This window comes from Homo sapiens, chromosome 16 (assembly GCF_000001405.40).
Source record: "Homo sapiens chromosome 16, GRCh38.p14 Primary Assembly".
NCBI lineage: Eukaryota > Metazoa > Chordata > Mammalia > Primates > Hominidae > Homo > Homo sapiens.
Window position 1 is genome coordinate 67,453,907 of NC_000016.10, and position 19,780 is coordinate 67,473,686.

The window sequence follows — 19,780 nt, forward strand, 5'->3', positions numbered from 1 at the left end:
ATCTTTGGGCCACAATCCAGCACATGGAGCCCCAAAGTTCGAGCATAAGAGGAACAGTTCCTCCCCAAGATGACAAGAAAGCCTGGGAAATTCCAAGGTCCAATCCACAACCCACAGCCTTTGAAGCCCTTCTGTATGTTAAGCTGTAGGCTGGCCCTAATCTAGAGCAGGGTAAGTCATGAGCCCTGCACTCCAGGGCCTCAGGGTCAGAGGGGCAAGCCAACACACCCCGAGGCACATGAAATACAAGAGATGCCTGAAGCTGTGGGAGTGGAGTGGAGAGGGCACCAAAGATCAGACTGAGAAGATGAGAAGGCCACAAAAGGCTGGGCCACAGCAAAGGGCAGGGGCAAGAAAGTACAAAGGAAACAGCCAGGAGGATGGTGTGAGTGACAAGTGGCCTGCAGGGCAAATGAGTGGCATGCGGGGGAGGTGAGGCTGGCAGGAAAGACTGAGCGTCCCTTCAGAGTGGCCGGAGACAGGCAGACCAATCCTGAGGGTTCTCTTGAGCATTCAGAGATGGGGTAAGGGAAAAGGAAGGAGAGGCAGAGCAGAAGGGCCCGGGGGAAGCAGGCCAAGGGAGAGGCAGTGGGATCCTGATGAGAACCTAACAACAGTCTCCCAGAGTGTTTTGTTTTTGTTTTTGTTTTTTGTTTGTTTGTTTTTTTTTTTAGAGATGGCATCTTGCTAGGTTCCCAGGCTGAACTTGAACTCCTAGTCTCAAGTGATCCTCTGGCCTCAGCCTCCCAAGTGGCTGGGACTACAGGCATGTGCCAGCCAGAGTGATCTTTTTAAAACACAAGGCAGACCATGCCATTCATTGGCCTTAAACTCTCCGCTACTCCTACTTTACTCAGAAAGAGTCCCTTCCAGAGCCCTCATGTGGTGGTCCCACCATCCCCGCTTAACCTCTCTGACTTAGGTCCTGCCATTCCCCCATGCTCACTATCCCCAGCCATGTCCCCACCTCAGGGCCCTTCCCCGTCCCCTGGCCTGAAAGTGGAGCTGTCTCCCCCTCTTCCTTCAGATCTTTCCTCACACGCCCCCTCTTCAGAGGCTTCTCCAGCAGCCCATCACTGTCCCTTGTGTTATTCTTCTTAGCAGTACTTATCCCACCTGATACAGGACACAGAAGCTCCCTGGGGACAGTACCAAGGACAGTGGCTGAGAAGATACCCAGGCACATGGTGGCGGAGGCTGGCTTGGAAGACTACATGCCTCTCTGTCCCCTGGGGAGGCTGCCCAGGGGATCAAAGGCGGAGCTGCACTTGGGACCACCTCCACACGCTGTCCTGGCCACGGCCTCCCCAGATGTCTTTGAGGCTCAGGAGACCATGCTAGCCTGGGTTGTTTAGAGAAGAAGGGAAGTGGGGCACATAAACCCTCTACAAGCTTAGGGGACCCCTGTGATGCCCCTCCTGCTGTACTCCATCAGGAGAAGACAGCCCCAACCTGGAGTCAGGCGAGCTAAAGGAGAGATGGAACACAGCATGTTGGAATACAGCAGGTCTCTGGAATAGATGCCTTCCACCTGCATCTCTGGGGGGCTGGTAGCAGGCCACACTCATGACCTCTGTGGCTCCTGGGCACTCATGGAGTGAACTTCAACCTCCTGAGGCCTGCAGGAGACACCTGCTGCCTTCACCATTACTCTGCAATTGACCACTACTTTTCTCCCATGGCCACCCAAAAGGGCATAGAAGAGAAAGTCAGGCAGGGCAGGCAGAAGCCACCAGCCCCTGTTCTGCTCTGTGGACCCCAATGCCTTTTTGCCTGGGAAATGTGCACTCTCCTACATCCTTACCCCAGGCCGTCTGCAATGAACCCTTGCCCTGAGATCTCTTCTCCCACATCCTCACCACATCTAACCAAGCCCCAGCTACTCCTAGAGTAAGGCATGGGTGAGAAAAGATGCTTTGCTCAGTAAACTTGGGTGGTTGCATTATTTCATTACCCATTTGGTTGTTAACTGTTCTTAACTGTAATTGATGGTCATTGCTGAAATAATATATTGCCTGTATTTCTACCTCTAGAAATGGGTTTCATGTGCTAGATTTTAATATCCTTGAGCTTGGGCAAGTATGCAAGCCTTTTTTTTTTTTTTTTCTGAGATGGAATCTTGCTCTGTTGCCCAGGCTGGAGTGCAGTGGCACAATCTCGGCTCACTGCAACCTCTGCCTCCCGGGTTTAAACGATTCTCCTGCCTCAGCCTCCCGAGTAGCTGGGACTAAAGGTGCATGCCACCATGCCTGGCTAATTTTTTTTTATTTTTAGTAGAGACGGGGTTTCACTATGTTGGCCAGGCTGGTCTCGAACTCCTGACCTCAGCCTCCACCTGCCTCAGCCTCCCAAAGTGCTGCGATTACAGGCGTGAACCACGTGTGCAAGTCTTTTTAAGAGAAACATGGTTTATTTGTACAAAACTGAGAGATTGTTAATGCCCCTGATGTGGTTTTTGTGGATGTGAAATGGTAAGAATATTAACTGGTTCCTCTTACTGTGGTATTAAAATGAAGCCTTCTTAATTTATCAAAGTCATGTTCATGCTCTGATTTTATATACTTGGGGTTCTGGCCCAGGCCCAGCAAGTGCTGAAATCTCCACTAGGGGAAGCTGCAGAGCGGATGGCAGCTGGGAGCCAAGACTGGAATACAGTTCTCTGGGTCAGACCCAGGCACTGGTGCGGCAGCTGCCAGACCAAACCTGTCTGCTTATTCACACAGCCACTGCAGCCAGCCAAGAGCCCTTCTCAGGCCAGGAGACTTCTTCCTTTTCAGCTATAGCCTGGGCCTAGAGGCCGGGCCAGATGTACAGGGTGAGCTCCAGAGAAAAACTCAGTCCTTTGGGTGGTGGCACTCCTGCCAGTGACTCCACTATTCCCTGGGACTGGGAGTCTGGACCCCGGTCTGGCCTCCTGATCCCTCCCCTCCAAAGCATCAGGGGCTGGGCCTCACCCGGGCATCTGTGTACACACTGCTCTTCCAGGCCCTGGCACAAGCTGCTGGGAGGCTTCCCCGAGTGAGCTGTCACCTCCTACTCAGGATCCTCATGAGCTCTCAAGCAGCATGAAACTTCCTCTGCTCCAGCCTCCCACTTTGCTCCACATGGCTTCTCTCCCTAGCTCAGCAACTTCCCCACTGCCAAGCACCTTTCCCCTCCCTAGGCCTCCATGACTCTCTATCCAACACCTGGGACTGGCCAGGGGGGAGTCCCCTCATCCCAACATGAAGCGGGCAACCCAGATCTACTCTAACTGGAAACACATGGGCTGTACGGTGTACTCATCCCCATGCCAGGAGCAACCTGTGTGCTGGACCTCTCAACCATGCCCATCTCAGCCTCAGGAACAGAAATCAGACAGAACATGAAACCTGTCCAGAGTCCCAGAGTTGGGGCATAGAGGGGCTGGGATGTGGAGCAGGCCTGGGGGATTCTATCTGTCCCCAGATCTAGTTTCCTCCTCTCCTCCCCACTCTGCACCTCCTTTACCGCTCTATTCCCCAGCCCTTGACCCAGGACAGGCTTTTCAGATACAGACTCAGCTGTCCAGACAGATTTCAGTCCCAGATGAGCTGGCAGGTGGTGGCAGAGGGGTGGGAGAAGCCAGGGCATGCCTTCTTCCCCTCCTCGGAGGCAGCCTGAACACTCACTGCTCACCTGACAGGCATGGACCATCAGCACTGTCACTGGACTGTCATCACTCAGGGACAAGTCCCTCTGGCATCCCTTGTGGCACCATCCATTCCTAGAGAAGCCAGGAATGTGTGCACGTGAATGAGGGGGCAAAGCCAAGCAGAGGGCTCTCTTCTGCAGGCCCCCCACTCCTGGGCTCAGCAAGGGCCTCCAAGCAAACACCCCTGTGCCTTGGCTGCTGCATTCTGCTGACACTGCATCTGGGGAAGCCACGGCTCCAAGCACTGCTGGAACGCAGGCGGCTGGGTGGTTTCTGCTGGCATTTGTCAGATCAGAGCAAACCCGGGAGACTCTACTGAGAATCCTGCCCAAGGCCTGAGGAGTCTTCCTTACCAGGAAACTTATTTTTTAAAAGCCCCCAGGGACGATGTCAAAGGGCCGTTCCAGACCACTTTCCCTGGCCAAACCCCACATCTCCCTGTGACCCAGGGAAGGGGGACAGCCTGCCAGCCAAGAAGGCGACTTAGAGAAGGAGGCCTGCTGAACCCTCAGCTCACCCATGAGGAGACCACACAGGGCTTCTAAACCAGCTCTGGCCCTGTTGGAGAAACCTGGCTCCCAGACCCAGTGGCTGGCAGCCCCAAGCCCTAAGACAGTACTGGTCAGGCCTAGGACAAGGCTGGTTGGGATGCTCCCTCCTCCCCAGCTTCCTGCTCTCTCTGAGGGATGCGGAGGAGGGGATGTGACTGGGAGGGGACGTGACTGGGAGCAGGATCTAAGCACAGAAGGAGAGGCCTGGAACTTGTTGAGAGCTTTGTGGGAGACCTGGCCACCCAGCCCTGGCCCAGCCTCTGAGGGCAGCCAAGGACGGCAGGGGCTCTGGGAAGCCAGGGGCTAGTTCTGCTCTGGGCCTTGGGCTCAGCAGCCTGACAGCCTCAGTGATGGCCACTGAGAGGCCCAGACGTGCCCAGCCAAGGCATGAGCAAGCAGTGTTCTGGCTAGCACAGACTCGGGGGACCGCTCTGGTCTACCCACAAGCCCAGCTGTCTACCCCAAATCCTCCCATCCATGGCCCAACAACAGGAATGTCTGGCCAGCTTGGGATCTCTCACAGTAAAAGACTTCCTTGAAGGCTGATTTCTCATGTTCAAAAGATGCTGCTGCTCTCAGGAAGTTCTCTCTGCTGTCTGACCTGAACCCCAACTCAGAAGCAGCAGACCAACTTGGTCTCCCGGTATCTCCAGCCTTCCCTCAGGCCTAGGCTTGCTCCTCAGTCTGCACCCCAGGACCTTCCCACAACTCCTCTGCTTCCCACATTCTTGTCCCCATGTTCAGATGACTCTCCCCCCAGCTCCATCTCCTGGCACTACCCAGGCCTTCTGCCCCACATCTTGGCTCCCTACTCCCAAGACCACTCTCCATACCATCACCAGAATGAAGTCCTCCAAATTGAATGGTTCGCTGTCACCTTCACCCAGCAGTCCATGTAGCCCTGAAGCTGGAGTTCTGCCTCTCCCCCACAGCCTGTGAGGCCCCGTGCCCTCAGCCCTAGCATTACCTCAGCCCTTGACTGGTCTAACAGTGCTACTTGCTGGCCAGAGTGACCTTCCTGTGATCTCTGCTCCAGCAAGTGCTCCAGGGAAGTCCACAGGCTGCCGGAGAGAGAAGCCCTTGAAGTGCAGGAAATAGTGCTGCTTTCTCAGGCCCATAGAGAGGCTGGGTTGGGAAGACACACCCCCAGCCTGGAAAGTGAGAGTCCCTGCCCTCCCACCTCCACAGGCCGGCCCTGTCCACCCTGAGGTTGCCTGTGTCAAGGACCATTGCCCTGGCTCCAGCAGGGGCAGCTGAGGTCTTTGAAGAGGCCTGGGAAGGCTGCAGCCCAAGACCCACCTGGCATGGCTGCCCCTCTCAGGGGTCGCCAGGCTGCACCAGACTCAGGCTGGCCACACTGAGCCCCAGCTGGCACCCCTATCACCCTAGCCCTTGATTAATAGGAGGGCATGGGACACTCAGCCTGCCCAGTGCTTTCTGCTCTCTGTGTGACAAAGTATGGGCTTGGCAGCTAACCCCAGACAGGCCTTGAGAGGTGGCAGCTGGGCAGCCCTGCCCCCGCCCACTTCCTGAAACTTTTCCCAGATCCTGCCAACCCAGAAGGGGATCTTTCAGCCTCTCCAGGGCTCCCAGGCTCAGATGGCACACGGCTTTTTCAGCCCCCAGGCCTCTGCAGTTCCTCCCCAAGGGCCATAGGGAGGCAGAAAGGAGGGTCCTGGCCCGTGCCAGGGGGTTGGTCCCACATGCCCCAGGGCCCAGTAGGCATGGAGGCAGCCCCTGGCCAGCATACTGGGCGGGGCAGACCCGCTTGAGGCTCCCCCATGGCCTCATGGCCGGCCCATGGAGGGGTCTTGCTGGCCAGCTGGCCACAGCACAGTGTGAGAGGACAGAGTGTTCCCAGACTTTACTTCTGCTTTTCCAGAGGTCACTCAGTGAGGCTCTCCTGGGGAGCTCAGGGGTTTTCAGGAATTGAGGCCCACTGAATGGAACCAGATGTGAGAACATGCTCCCTAGACTCTGGTGTGCCCACAATGCCATTCTCTGCAAGGGTGGCAGAGTCTTGGAGCCTGTTCTACCACTCCCCTGGGCCTGGCTGAGAAGTCGGCTTCGAAGGGACTGGACCTGGGCTCTACCTCCAATGCTACAACTTCTACTGGCTCAAAGTAGGAAAACTCAGACAGATGGACCAATGTGGACAGATGGCCAGGCTGGTGGCCCAACAAAGCGAGAGCTGCCCTGCCCCTCCTCGGTGAATGTGCTGCGCCTGACCTCCTCCCTAGGCTCAGGAGTGGGAGGAGACCTTTTTTTTCATATCAGCTCCAAAGCAGATGTGTGCACTGGCTGGCTGGATCTGCAGGGTCAGAGCACCACATCTGGAACTCTCAGTGTGGGAGCCACAGCATAGAAACCATTAACCCTGGGTTTACCTGGGGCCTGCAGCACAGTATGAGTGTCCTCTTCAGCCCCCAGGCCTCTGCCAGGGCCCTTCGCAGGCTCTCTGCAAACCTCACGTAACACCAATTGACTGAGTAACCCCAAGTTCCAACACTTCCTATCAAATGCCAGCTTTCCCCCCTCCCCCCATGCCATCTGCCATTCCCCATCCGGAACCTTGGCACTATCACCCTCAACTGGGGTATCCATGGCACCTTTCCCTGGCCAGTGCAGGCCCACCCATCACCCATCAGCTGATCCATCCCACAGCCCCAGCCCCCTCTGCAGATCCATTTTGCCAGATCACTGGCTTCAAGACATTATTCCTTAGGCAGCTGAGTGGGACAGGGGAGAAAGAATCTGGGCTTCAGAGCCACAAGGACCTGGGTTCAAATCCTGTCTACAAATTGGCCCTAAAACACTTGTGGAATCTCTCTGGAACCAGGCCCCTGGCCAGTCACCAGGTAACAGGTTCTGCAGTGCCAGCCTCCCAGGGCACTGCACAGACACTGAGCAAAGGCAGCGGTTTACAGAGAGCTGAGCACAGCATACCACAGTCCATTTCTCCTGGCAGACACCATGAGCCCAGCAGTGTGTAGCCTTGACTCCAGGCTGTTGCTTAGGCTGTCCTACTAAGTCCTGTACAGAAGGTACCTGTTCCTCCTCTCCATGGTCTGTCCCAACCCTTTCCCAGGCCTCTAGCATGCTGTCCTCCCTGTCATAAAGCCTGCAGGGGACCTTGTGCAGCATGAGCATGCTAACACTCTGCTATCTCCTGGGGAAAGAGAAACAGGGCTGGCTCAAGAGCCGGGGCTTCTGTCCCCAAACCTACATCTCACCTATCAGCAAGATCATAGAGAGCTCTGAGCAGCCCCAGCAACCTGGATAGAGAGAGGCAAGGACAGAACTCTGCACCACCCACCACACCCTGAGTTGCCCTGAGGGTCTCAGGAGCAGGTAGGAGGTAGTATAGCCAAGGACAGCTCTTGCTTCATGGGAAACCTCTGGGCTGGCAGGCCAGTAGTCTTGGGAAGAACCTGGAGTCTCCTGCTGGCACGGTCACATGCAAGTTACTAGGTTTCAGGTGGCTAAGGCAGAGCTCCTGCAGGGAAAAGACAGTAAGTTCTCCTTCCTCGGTCCCTGGACCTACATTTTGTTTCATGCTAGAGGTTTTTCAGTGAGGTGAGGCACTCACAGTAGGGGAATGGGGCCAATCTGCAGAGATGGTCCAGCTGACACCAGGGGCCAGCGGCACCGACCATCAGCAACATCAGACACAGGGATCAAATGGGAGAGTCACCTCCCAAGTCCAGGAAGCAAAAGGATGTCTGCCCTGGGTTCATCACCCCACTCCCTGCTCTGGGACAGGTGGTAGGTGGTGGCAGAGACACATTTAATTACCCTCATACTCTCAGGAACACCTTGTCCCTGAGGCTGGGAGGATGAAAGCATTTCTCACATCCTAGGAGGAAGTCAACTCGTTTGACAGTCAGGAGGGTGCCAGGCAGGCGACAGTCCCATGTGCCAAAGGGAGGGGCAGAACTGGTTACTGCTGCACCCAGGGCAAGTTCCAAGAAGCTCTCCTCTGACTGAGTGGAGATCCGCCTGGACAGCCCGTCACCAGGCCGTCCCCACCCAGGCCTGAAGGCTCCATGGGACTGGCATGTCCCAGGAGACACAGGGCTTGCAGGGCAGCTTTCCTATGTTCCCTGGCCACAGCCCAGCCTGAGAATCAGACAACCCAGCCTCACCCTGGGAGGTGGGGGCCACACCCTCCTCTGTTGATGCCCTGCACTTTGACCGAAGCAAGCTATTTCTTCTCCAGGTTTGCCACCACGGTTATAGAACCGGCAGGTTGGGGTGGATCTGGAACTGTGAAGAAGAGCTTCTTTTCATTTTCCCAAAGATGTGAGTTTGCCTGGGCATGAGTAAGAGGTAAAGTGGTCTGGCCTGGCCAGATGCCAGGTAGCCCAAGGAAGGCCAGTTATGGCAATGTGCTGTGCTCAAAAGCTGGCCGAGGCTGGGCACAGTGGCTCACACCTATAATCCCAGCGTTTTGGGAGACCAAGGTGAGGGAATCACTTGACCCCAGGGAGTTTGAGACCAGCCTGGGCAACATAGTGAGACCTAGTCTCCACAAAAAATAAAACAAAATGAGCCCAGCGCAGTGGTACATGCCTGTAGTCTCAGCTACCTGGGAGGCTAAGGTGGGAGGATGGCTTGAGTCTGGGAGGTTGAGACTGCAGTGAGCCAAGATCATGCCACTGCACTCCAGCCTGTGAGACAGAGGGAGACTCTGTCTCAAAAAAAAAAAAAAAACCTGGCCCATGCCCATGTCTAGCTTCTGGGTCTGCTGGCCTGCACCACCTGAGCAATCCTGTCAGCTCTTGATGCTGGGCTCCTGTTCCACACGCACAGCCATCTTCAGAAGGACACGAAGGAAAGTTGGGGCTCACTCAGTTGGAGGTGGAGGGGATTTCTAGGGCTCCCTAGAGGTGGCTGTTCTCAGTGAGAATAAGCAGGTCAGGCTGGATCCTGGCAGGAGCATCCTGCCAGTTCCACGGTGCCTAGAGCCAGCCCAAAGGAGAAAAGTAGGAAATACTCATTTTGCTTTGACCTAGGCCCTGTGTTTGGGCTCGTGGGATCAAACCTCATCTGGGGCTGTGAGCTCATGCACTGTCAGCATAAAGTCCCATTCCCTGCGGCTCATAAAAACTGGACAGAGGCTGGGCGTGGTGGCTCATGCCTGTAATCCCAGCACTTTGAGAGGCTGAGGTGGGAGGATCACTTGAGCCCAGAAGCTCAAGACCAGCCTGAGCAACACAGAGAGACTCTGTCTCTACAAAAAATACAAAGATTAGCCAGATGTGGCAGCATGTGCCTGTGGTCCCAACTACTCGAAAGGCTAAGGTGAGAGGATCACTTGAGCCCAGGAGGTCAAGACTGCAGTGTTCATGCCACTGTCCTCCAGCCTAGGTGACAGAATGAGACTCTTTCATGAAAGAAACAAAGAAAGAAAAAAGAAAGAGGGAGGGAGGGAGGAAGAAGGGGAAAAAAAAAAAGAAAGAAAAAGAAAAAAGAAGAAAAAAGAAACTGGACAGAGCAGCCCAGGCCAGAGGTAGAGTTAATCCATCCCATACCTTTCGCTGGCAGAGCCAAGAGGCTTGGTCCAGGCAAGAAGATGGCAGAAGCAGTAACTATACAAGCTGGTCCAGTACAGCACCCCCAGGACCCCACCCACCCTGCCTTTCAGCCCTCCCCTCAGCGGCCCTGCTCAAGGGCCTTGTGGGACAGGTGCGGGGGCAACAGTAACATGCCAGAGTGAGCCAGTGCTGTGGACCTGGGCTGGCCCCTGGGAGGGACGTGGTCACCTGCTTGACCACACAGTGGAAGCTAGGTCCAAATGACTGAAGCCACTGGGGGAGGTGGGAGGCATGGAGCCTGGGCAGATACCGAAGGGTGACATTCCAGGACCCTGTGCTCTCCCAGGCCTTGTGATATGGTATCTAGTTTGAAGGTTAAAGGGTTGGGGGCATGGGAAAACAGGCAGAGCTGAACCCATGACCTGGCAGCCTCAGGGCCTTGTGTGCTACATCATGGACTGCAGCTCATCTGTATTCATCAGCTCCCAACCCTTCAAGTTTCAAGCTAGATCCCATGTGGCAAGGCCTGAGGAAAAGACAAGGGCCCCAGAAACAGGGTCCTTTTTGCATGACTACCCGTTCCTGAGTTGGGGGCCAGTTCACAGAGATATAGTCCAGGCATCCTTGAGTGAACAAATGGAAGAATAGATAAAGGGGGAAAAAAATCAAAGAACATAGAGTGATTGGTCAGGAACTGCCAAGACAGGTGTCAGGAGACCATAATTACGCCCTTGGGCCTTACCTTGGACCCAGCTTCCCAGATGAAGAGAGCTGGATAACGGTACCTCCAGGAGCCTGTCCAGCTATGACACTGTTCTAGCCTCGTCAGGCCCAGACCACATTGACTCCCTGCAACCCAGCCCCTGAGGGCCACTCAGGGGCTCCCAGTGAGACCAGTGGCCTGGATACCCATGGAACAGCCTCAGAAGAACTGATGACAGCTGCAGGGGAGACCCTGGGGCTGTGGAGCCTCTGAGTGGCCACCAGCACAGGGACAAGGGCAGGCAGTAAAAGCTGAGTTTCAGATGACTCCTCAGAGGGAAAAGCCCCATCCACCAGCCAAGCACGAAAGCCTCTGTTGAGGTCAAGGCCTGAAAACCATTGCCTGAGCATCCAAAGTGGGGCAAGGTCTGGGCAAGTGCCCAGGGCCAGGCAAGAGCTGGCCAGGAAAGCAGTGTCCAGCACCAGTCAGGGCTGCTCCTCCACATATTCCTTTCCCCTGCCACCAATCTGCCCAGCGGTCCTCAGGACCACACACATTCACACAGGGGCAATCCCAGCACTGCCCCTTGTGCCTACTCCTTGGTCCTTCAGGGGAGTTGCTAGGTTTGGACACACAGAGCAGGTGCCCAGGCCACAAAGCAGCAGCCTAGCCTACTAAAGCACCCTTCGGGGCCTTGACTTTCCTGCCTCTGAAAAGGAGGAAGACCAACATTCTAGTGCAGGATAGATTTTTTAAAACATCAGCCAGGGAGTAGGTGTTGGATGAGGCAGACGCCAAGGAGCCCAATGGAGAGGCCTCCAAACTGGGGTACAGGGTAGGAGAGACTTGTCAATCAACTGATAACCCATCGCCAGCCTGACCGTGTGGACCTGCAGTGCTTACATGGTGTTCAGGTGCCTGGTTTGGCCATCTCCCGGAGTCACCCTGCATATATGTACCTATACATGCCACATACATCCTACATGCCCCTCAGAGGGAGTGCCAAATGAGGTTGAGGAGAGAGAAAAATTCATCCTCTGTCCTGAAGACAAATTTTCCCTCTCCTGGAGAGGCCAGGGTGGCAAGACAAGAGTGGTGACTACCTAGGGAGGTGCATGGTTCTAGGAGCCTGAGAAGTGTAGCCCTGATCCCTGGGCTGCCTCAAGCTCCTACTTGGAGCTCCCAAGACCCATGGGTTCATAGCACACTGTGCTGTACCTGCAGCTCCAACTCTGAGCTGCTGGCATGACCCAGGTGAGGGTAAATGAGGACGGTGTGGTGGGCAAGGCTGGAGCAGCCTGCACTGGGCACCAAGGCAAAGAGCATCAGGAAATGTCCCCTGGCCTTCTCCTTCCCAACCCAGGAAGATAGGGCACAGGGAGGTGAGGATGGGTAGAGGTACACAGACAGGAGACACTAAGCGACAAGCCCTACCTCATCTGAGAAGGCCAACTGAGACTTAAGTGAGGGAAGTAGGGCCCAGAGCAGAGACCCAAGGGACAGTGCTGGTGGCAGCTGCCCCACGGAAAAGCAGAGAGAGAGCCTGGATGACTCACGGGGTCCAGCCACACCTCCCTCCCCAGGCTCCTTGAGAAGTGGAGTGATCCTGGCGCACCCCCTTGTGGTGGGAGGATGGCATTGTCCACAGCGAGGGGCCCCTCTGGTGGGAAGAGGGTACGCCAGCTCCAGTTCCCCTTCAACACATCCCTCCAATTTAATCACTGCCTCAGACTCCTGGTCAGCATCTCCCAGTCATCAACCTCTGAGGGAGTGGGACTACAGGTACCCACAGAGCTATGCAGGAATGTCTCATAAAGAACAGGAGTTGGGCCAGGCGCGGTGGCTCACGCCTGTAATCCCAGCACTTTGGGAGGCCAAGATGGGCAGATCACCTGCGGTCGAGGGCTCGAGACCAGCCTGACCAACATGGAGAAACCCTGTATCTAGTAAACACATACACACACACACACACACACACACACACACACACACACACACACACACACAAAATTAGCCAGGCATGGTGGCGCTTGCCTGTAATCCTAGTACTCAGGAGGCTGAGGCAGGAGAATCACTTGAACACGGGAGGCGGAGGTTGCGGTGAGCCAAGATTGTGCCATTGCACTCCAGCCTGGGCAACAAGAATAAAACTCTGTCTCAAAAAAAAAAAAGAACAGAAGTTGGCCGGGCACGGTGGCTCACACCTGTAATCCCAGCACTTTGGAAGGCCGAGGCTGAAAGATGACTTGAGCCCAGAAGTTTTGAGACCAGACTGGCCAACATAATGAGACCTTGTCTCTACCAAAAATAAACAAAATCAGCTGGGCGTCGTGGTGCATGGTTTGCAGCCTAGGTGGTCAAGGCTACAGTGAGCCATGATGGAGCCACTGCACTCCAGCCCAGGCAACAGAGTGAGGCCCTGTCTCAAAAAAAAGAAAAGAAAAGAAAAGAAAGAGAACAATAGGTGGATATAAGCCTGGAAAGCCAAACCGGAGACCACACAGACCTGAGTCGGTCATAAGGAACTGGTCTGTCTTGCATGAGTGAAGACAAAGCCTTCAGAGGGACAAGGCTGAAGAGGACGTGGAGGGAAGCATGGGCATCCTCAGCCCTCTACACTCTTGCTCTCCCTCTCAGCCAGACCCTCCCAAGTCTCCAATTCCCTTTATCTAAGTCTCAACTCCTTTTGTCTCTACTGCCTAGTATGTGTCTAATAAAAGCAAGTGCTTAATAACTCAGAAACAGGGAAATCTATGATATGGTGCATCCCTGGGGTTGGGGGGTGGGAGACTTGGCTTTTCCTCCCCCACACCCCCAAAGCCTAGTACTCAGCCAGTGCCAGTAGAGCTGTCATGGCTGGGCACAGTGGCTCATGCCTGTAATCTCAGCACTTTGGGAGACCGAGGTGGGCGGATCACGAGGTCAAGAGATCAAGACCATCCTGGCCAACATCGTGAAACCCCGTCTCTACTAAAAAGACAAAAATTAGGCGGGCGTGGTGGCGGGTGCCTGTAATCCCAGTTACTTGGGAGGCTAAGGCAGGAGAATCGCTTGAACCCAGGAGGCGGAGGTTGCAGTGAGCCAAGATCATGCCACTGCACTCCAGCCTGGCAACAGAGTGAGACTCTGTCTCAAAAAAAAAAAAGAGCTGTCACTCATCCAATCAGGCAAATATCTATTGAGCATCCACTCTGGCTAGGACTGCGCTGTTGAATCCTTACAACCTACGAGTAAGTGATTTCTGTTTCATTTTACAAGTGGGCAAATACATCTCTGCATCACACAGCTGTCCGGAAGGGAGCCATGGTCTGCCTGATGCCTGGCTCCACACAGAAGAACTCAAGAAAGGTTCTGGCAACCCATAGGGGCACTAGGGTCCTGACCCTGAGCAGGCGCAGATGACTTAGAGACAGTCATATCATGTCCTTGCACCTGTTCATTCTGGATGCAGATCCTCCTAACAAGCTGCAGTGTGTCTGATCACTGAGCTCAAAGCCCAAGAGCAGCTACAGGTTGGGAAGGGGACCCTGGTGCTATAGCAGGCATCCTGACCACAGCAGGAAGAGTGAATGGGTGGCCTGACAGAAGGCCAGGGACAAAACTATGGGAGGCAGACCTGGGCCCTCAGGGACAGTGGTTCTGTTCCATCTCATTCCAAGTCTAACAGCCGTTAATGCAGGAGAGACTCTGCTATGTTCAGTGTATGCCACTTAAGAAAGCAGGGAGCCTGGGCAACATAGTGAGACCCTGTCTCCACTAAAAAATAAAAAATTAGCCAGACATGGTAACACATGCCTGTACTCCCAGCTACTTGGGAAAGGTGAGGTAGAAGGATCACTTGAGCCCAGGAGGTTGAGGCTGCAGTGGGTCATGATCATGCCACTGCAATCCAACCTGGGCGACAGAGTGAGACCCTGTCTTAAAAAAGGAAAAGGAGCTAAGCGTGATGGCTCATGCATGTAATCCCAGTACTTTGGGAGGCCAAGGCAAGAAGATCACTTGAGCCCAGGAGTTCAAGACCAGCCTGGGAAACATGGCAAAACCCCTTCTCTACAAAACATACAAAAATTAGCTAAGTGCGGTGGTGCATGCCTGTAGCCCTACATACTTGGGGGGCTGAGTTGGGAGGATTGCTTGAGCCTGGGAGGTCAAGGCTGCGGTGAGTTGTGTTTGGGTCACTGTACTCCAGCCTGGGCAACAGAGCAAGACCCAGTCTCAAAAAGAAAAAGAAAAAAAAAAAAGAAGGAAGGAAAGAAAGAAAGGAAAGGAAGCAAGCAAGCAGGGAAATGAGACTAATATATTCCAGAAGTGTATTATGCAATGTTTAAAATAAGGTGTTGAAGCATTTCCGTCTCTGCCATCAAGAAACCCTAGTCACCCAGAAAGCCTTATTTACTAAGGGCCCTGAATGGCTGACATCTGCCTAGGCTGAGGGTACTTCAAAAGGCCTAGCAGGGGTTCAAGCACTGGCTCCACCTCGGAAACCAGGCCCAAGAAATCGCTGAGTAAACCCAAGAAAAAGTATATGTTATCACCCACCAGAGCAAGTTCTGACAAGACATCCTGTGGCAGGGATTTGGAAACAGCAGTTATTGGCTCCTGTGGGGACTCTTACTGACTTGACCATAAATAGCTTCTCAGATAAAATCGGGCTAAAGGCCAGGCGCGGTGGCTCACACCTGTAATCCCATCACTTTGGGAGGCCAAGGCAGGTGGATCACAAGGTCAGGAGTTTGAGACCAGCCTGACCAACATGGTGAAACCGCATCTCTACTAAAAATACAAAAATTAGCCAGGCGTGGTGGCACACGCCTGTAATCCCAGTTACTCAGAAAGCTGAGGCAGGAGGATCGTTTCAACCTGGGAGGCGGAGGTTGCAGTGAGCCGAGATTGCGCCATTGCACTCCAGCCTAGGCAACAAAGCAAGACTCCTTCTCAAAATAAATAAATAAATAAATAAATAATAAAATCGGGCTAAAGTATATGCCAGTGCAAGATGTAACCAACAAAGGGAATACAGGAGTAGGGGTCAGGAGGAAGAGGCAAAGGACAGACAGAAAAACAGCCAGTTAAGTGGTCACCTGCTCACAGTGGCTATACCTGGACAGGGGCCCTGCAGCTCTGGCCAGCTGACATGAGAAGGGTCCAGCTCTGGCCTGGGCCCTCAAGCACCCCCATAGGACTTGGGAGTCTTCAGGTGTAAAGAGAAGTGGCTTCATGGGGGTTCCCTAAGACTCAGACCAGCCCTACAATGCCCCACAATGCGAAACAAAACCTGGACCACAAAGGTCCCAGGCTCTCCAGCACAGGCCTCAGCTTTGATGGCTGCTGGGTGTGGGTACCCTTCTCTTTGCTTACCTATATGTCCTAATTTTCCTTAAATATCTTTATTGAATGTATCAAATTATAAAATGTGTTCACTGTAATACATTTAAACAATAGAAGAGTACATAAAAAGTCAACATTGAAATCTTCCCCCTACCAGCCTCTATAAATCCCTCTCCCCAGAGGTTGTCACTCATGACAACTTGGCGCCTATGCTTCCAAAAACATGCATATATGTCCATCTGGTAGTCTACCAAGATGAGGGATTACATGTAACGCTTTGCAACTTTTCACCTAACAACATATTTCTAAATCAGCCCTTATGGAACTTCATGCTTTTGAGCACTCTCTCGTAGTATTCCATTGTAAGAATAGACCATGGTTTACTTAACCAGACCATAACCAAATCACCGGATATTCCATTGGTTCTAATAGTTTGCTGCTACCAACAAGGCTGGCATAAACACCTCTGTACATGCTATCCCATGTTAATCTACGGGACACAATCTTATAAGTTGGGTTGCAGGGTCGCACGGTATATACATGCAGTGTTTTGACAAAGGGGTGACAATGTATACCCCTTGGAGAGTCTACACCAAGTCATCCTTCTACCAACTTTTTGGAATTAAAAAATTATATTTAGTCAAAAAGAAAACAAGAAAACAAAAAACCACCATGCCCCAGCATCATGCAGGAAGAGACACGGCAGGAATCTGGAGGGAGAGCCCAGCTGTCCCTCTCTCTGCTCCGCTTGCCAAACTGGGCTCCATGCCAGGTGTCCTCGTTAGGCCACACTTGTGTCCACTTGGCCCACAGTTAAGGCTGCTCTCTAGCCTCCTGGCAGGACTTGTGGGCAGAGCTAGGCTTCCAAGGCAGGCTTGCCCGGCTATGAGCCAACAGATGGCCTGGCGCGGGCCTAACTGCCACCAGCCAGTGTACTGGTGACTTCCAGGTTAATATCTTTAGTGTTACTATCTCACACAGCCAACTGCCTGCCGGACTCCCTCAGACATCTGAGATAGAATACTTCCCCTCCCACCCCCCAATCTGCACCCCTAACTTTCCTATCCCTTCTCTGGTAGCCCGTATCTCAAAAGGAGCTCCAGCATCCACCCAGTCATTTATTAAGCCAGCAGCCTGACTTCTAACCCTCTTCACCCACATCTAATAAAAACTGGACCAATCTTGTGGGTTTCATCTCCCAAGCTGATCTCTGACCTGGTCCTTCATCCCCCCTCATTCCACTCCAGCCCTGGTTAGTCCATATTCTCCTACCTAGAGAGCTGCAAGAGCAGCTAGCAAGTGTCCTGCTTCTGGCCTGCTCCCACAAATCCATCCTCTAGAGCCTCAGAGCAAGTTTCTTTTTTGTTTATAATTGACGTGTAACAATTGCACATATTTATAGGATACATGTGATATTTTGATACATATATACACTGTGTAATGAATGATCAATTCAGGGTAATTAGCATATCCATCAACTCAAACATTTATTATTTCTTTGTTTTTGAGACAGAGTCTGGTTCTGTTGCCCAGACTGGAGTACAGTGGGGGTGACCCTGGCTCACTGCAACCTCTGCCTCCTGGGTTCAAGCAATTCTCCTGCCTCACCCTCCCAAGTAGCTGGGGATTACAGGCATGCGCCACCACGCCCGGCTAATTTTTGTATTCTTAGTAGATATGGGGGTTTCACCATGTTGCCCAGGGTGGTCTTGAACTCCTGACCTCAAGCGATCTACCTGCCTCAGCCTCCTAAAGGGCTGGGATTACAGGCATGAGCCACCACACGTGGCCTATTATTTCTTTGTGTTGAGAACATTCAAAATCCTCTCTTACAGCAGTTTGAAAATATATAATGAATTATTGTTAAATACAGTCACCCTATGGTATAGAATAGAACTTCTCCTATCTAGCTGTAATTTTATACAGATTAATCATCCCCTCCCTCAGAGCAAGTTTCTTTTTTAAAAAAAATTATTATTAATTTTTTTTTTGAGACGGGGTCTCTCTCTGTTGCCCAGGCTGGAGTGTAGTGGTGTGATCACGGCTCACTACAGCCTCAACCTCCCAGGCCCAAGCGACCTTCCCACCTCAGCCTCCCATATTATTATTTTTTTAGAGATTGGGCCGGGGGGTGGTTCTCACTATGTTGCCCAGGCTGGCCTCAAACTCCTGGGCTCAAGTGATGCTCCCACCTCAGCCTCCTCAGTGGCTGAGATTACAGGCGTTAGCCACCACACCAGGCCCAGTGAGTTTCTAATTGTATCATACCACCAACCCTACCTCCTCCACAATTCCCCTTTTCTTCACCCAGTGAGGGGTTAGGTTCCCACACTGGCTCATGACAGCGAGATGCCAAACCTCCCCCCTGCCTAGCCCTAGCCTCCATTCCTGCTCTGGGGCCTCATTCTCGCAGGCAGCAGCAGCAGCAAGCTGGAGGGGAGCAACAGGTGCAGCAGGCTGCCAGACACCACCAACAACCTGTGCCAGTTCATCCGCCACTGAGCACTGGGGTCCCCTTGTGCAGCAATGCCACTGCCCAGGGCAGTGGGGCCAACAAGAGGGAAAAACTTCAGGCTTGTGTGGGGTCCAGGCTCTCACAACTCAACATGCTCATTCCCTTTCTTCCACAGAGTAAATGTTCCTTCTATTATTGCCTTCTGCACACCCTTCTCCCAATGCCCTCCCCCAGCCCCCAGCTCCTCTCTCTTGCTTGTAGTCACTAGATTGCCAGTACCATGTCATCTCTTCCTTTGGATCACGTTTGACTCAGAGGAATTTAGGACTGAGCTAAGCTCATCTTGCTGTCCAAGTTGTGGTCATCTAATTTCACCAATTCAATAGAGTTTCCTTTGACAAACAAAATGAAATGTATAAAATATTTCCAGGCGGCTGGGCGCGGTGGCTCATGCCTGTAATCCCAGCACTTTGGGATGCCAAGACGGGAGGATCACGAGGTCAGGAGATCGAGACCATCCTGGCTAACACGGTGAAACCCCGTTTCTACTAAACAAAATACAAAAAATTTGCCGGGCGTGGTGGCGGGTGCCTGTAGTGCCAGCTACTCGGGAGGCTGAGGCAGGAGAATGGCGTGAACCCAGGAGGCGGAGCTTGCAATGAGCCAAGATCGCGCCACTGCACTCCAGCCTGGGCAACAGAGCAAGACTGTCTCAAAAAAATATATATATATTTCCAGGCAAGAGCATACACAGAAAATCCTAAACAAGACATTTCCTACACATTAACCTTAATCTAAGAATCTCTCTCTTTTTAAAACAATTTTTTACCATAACTTTCATCCTTCCTGAGCAATATGTCCTTCTAAGACACCCACAGCCTTCCAGGAACCAGCCCAATGCATCTATCCAGACCTCGCTGCTGCAAATCCTCGACACACACTCTACTTTCTCCTTCCACCTCCCAAGGCTGCTGTCATGCACGAGGCAGTTTCGTGTTTCTGAGACTACTAATGCCATTCCTTCTCCCTATGCTCTTCCCACCTCTTGGCCTGGCTAATTTGGGGCTGGGGGGGGTGGCGCAGCAACAGCTTTACTGAGATATAATTCATTTGCCATACAATTTGCCAACTTAAAGTGTACAATTCATGGTTTTAAGCATACTCACAGAATTGTGCAACCGCCCCACAATCAGTTTTAGGACTTTTTTTTTTTTAGATGGAGTCTTACTCTGTCACCCAGGCTGCAGTGCAGTGGTGCAATCTCAGCTCATTGCAACCTCCACCTTCCGGGTTCAAGCGATTTTCCTGCCTCAGCCTCCCAGGTAGCTGAGGTTACAGGTGCCCGCCACTACGCCCAACTAATTTTTTGTGGTTTTGTTTGTTTGTTTGAGACAGAGTCTCGCTCAGTCGCCCAGGCTGGAGTGCAGTGGTGCAATCTCGGCTCACTGCAAGCTCCACTTCCCAGGCTCATGCCATTCTCCTGCCTCAGCCTCCCAAGTAGCTGGGACTATAGGCGCCCACCACCATGCCTGG

General features: G+C 53.0%; 1 protein-coding gene across 1 annotated transcript in view, besides 4 other annotated features; it reads right to left on the reverse strand.

Moving 5' to 3' along the window:
• The window catches only part of ATP6V0D1 (ATPase H+ transporting V0 subunit d1), a 43,139-nt gene that overhangs the window by 15,888 nt on the left and 7,471 nt on the right, over positions 1–19,780 (reverse strand). The gene's annotated exons all lie outside the window — the stretch shown is intronic.
• Positions 5,160–5,454: a silencer, noted in NCBI's record as "tiled region #10086; HepG2 Repressive DNase matched - State 5:Enh". NCBI's record gives its function as "represses a minimal TATA promoter and a strong SV40 promoter by Sharpr-MPRA in HepG2 cells {active_cell/tissue: HepG2}" and the evidence as "EXISTENCE:reporter gene assay evidence [ECO:0000049][PMID:27701403]".
• Positions 7,723–8,223: an enhancer, noted in NCBI's record as "H3K4me1 hESC enhancer chr16:67495532-67496032 (GRCh37/hg19 assembly coordinates)". NCBI's record gives its function as "activates a minimal SCP1, AML or CMV promoter by ChIP-STARR-seq in naive H9 embryonic stem cells {active_cell/tissue: H9 hESC(naive)}" and the evidence as "EXISTENCE:reporter gene assay evidence [ECO:0000049][PMID:30033119]".
• Positions 11,529–12,029: an enhancer, noted in NCBI's record as "H3K4me1 hESC enhancer chr16:67499338-67499838 (GRCh37/hg19 assembly coordinates)". NCBI's record gives its function as "activates a minimal SCP1, AML or CMV promoter by ChIP-STARR-seq in naive H9 embryonic stem cells {active_cell/tissue: H9 hESC(naive)}" and the evidence as "EXISTENCE:reporter gene assay evidence [ECO:0000049][PMID:30033119]".
• Positions 12,030–12,530: an enhancer, noted in NCBI's record as "H3K4me1 hESC enhancer chr16:67499839-67500339 (GRCh37/hg19 assembly coordinates)". NCBI's record gives its function as "activates a minimal SCP1, AML or CMV promoter by ChIP-STARR-seq in primed H9 embryonic stem cells {active_cell/tissue: H9 hESC(primed)}" and the evidence as "EXISTENCE:reporter gene assay evidence [ECO:0000049][PMID:30033119]".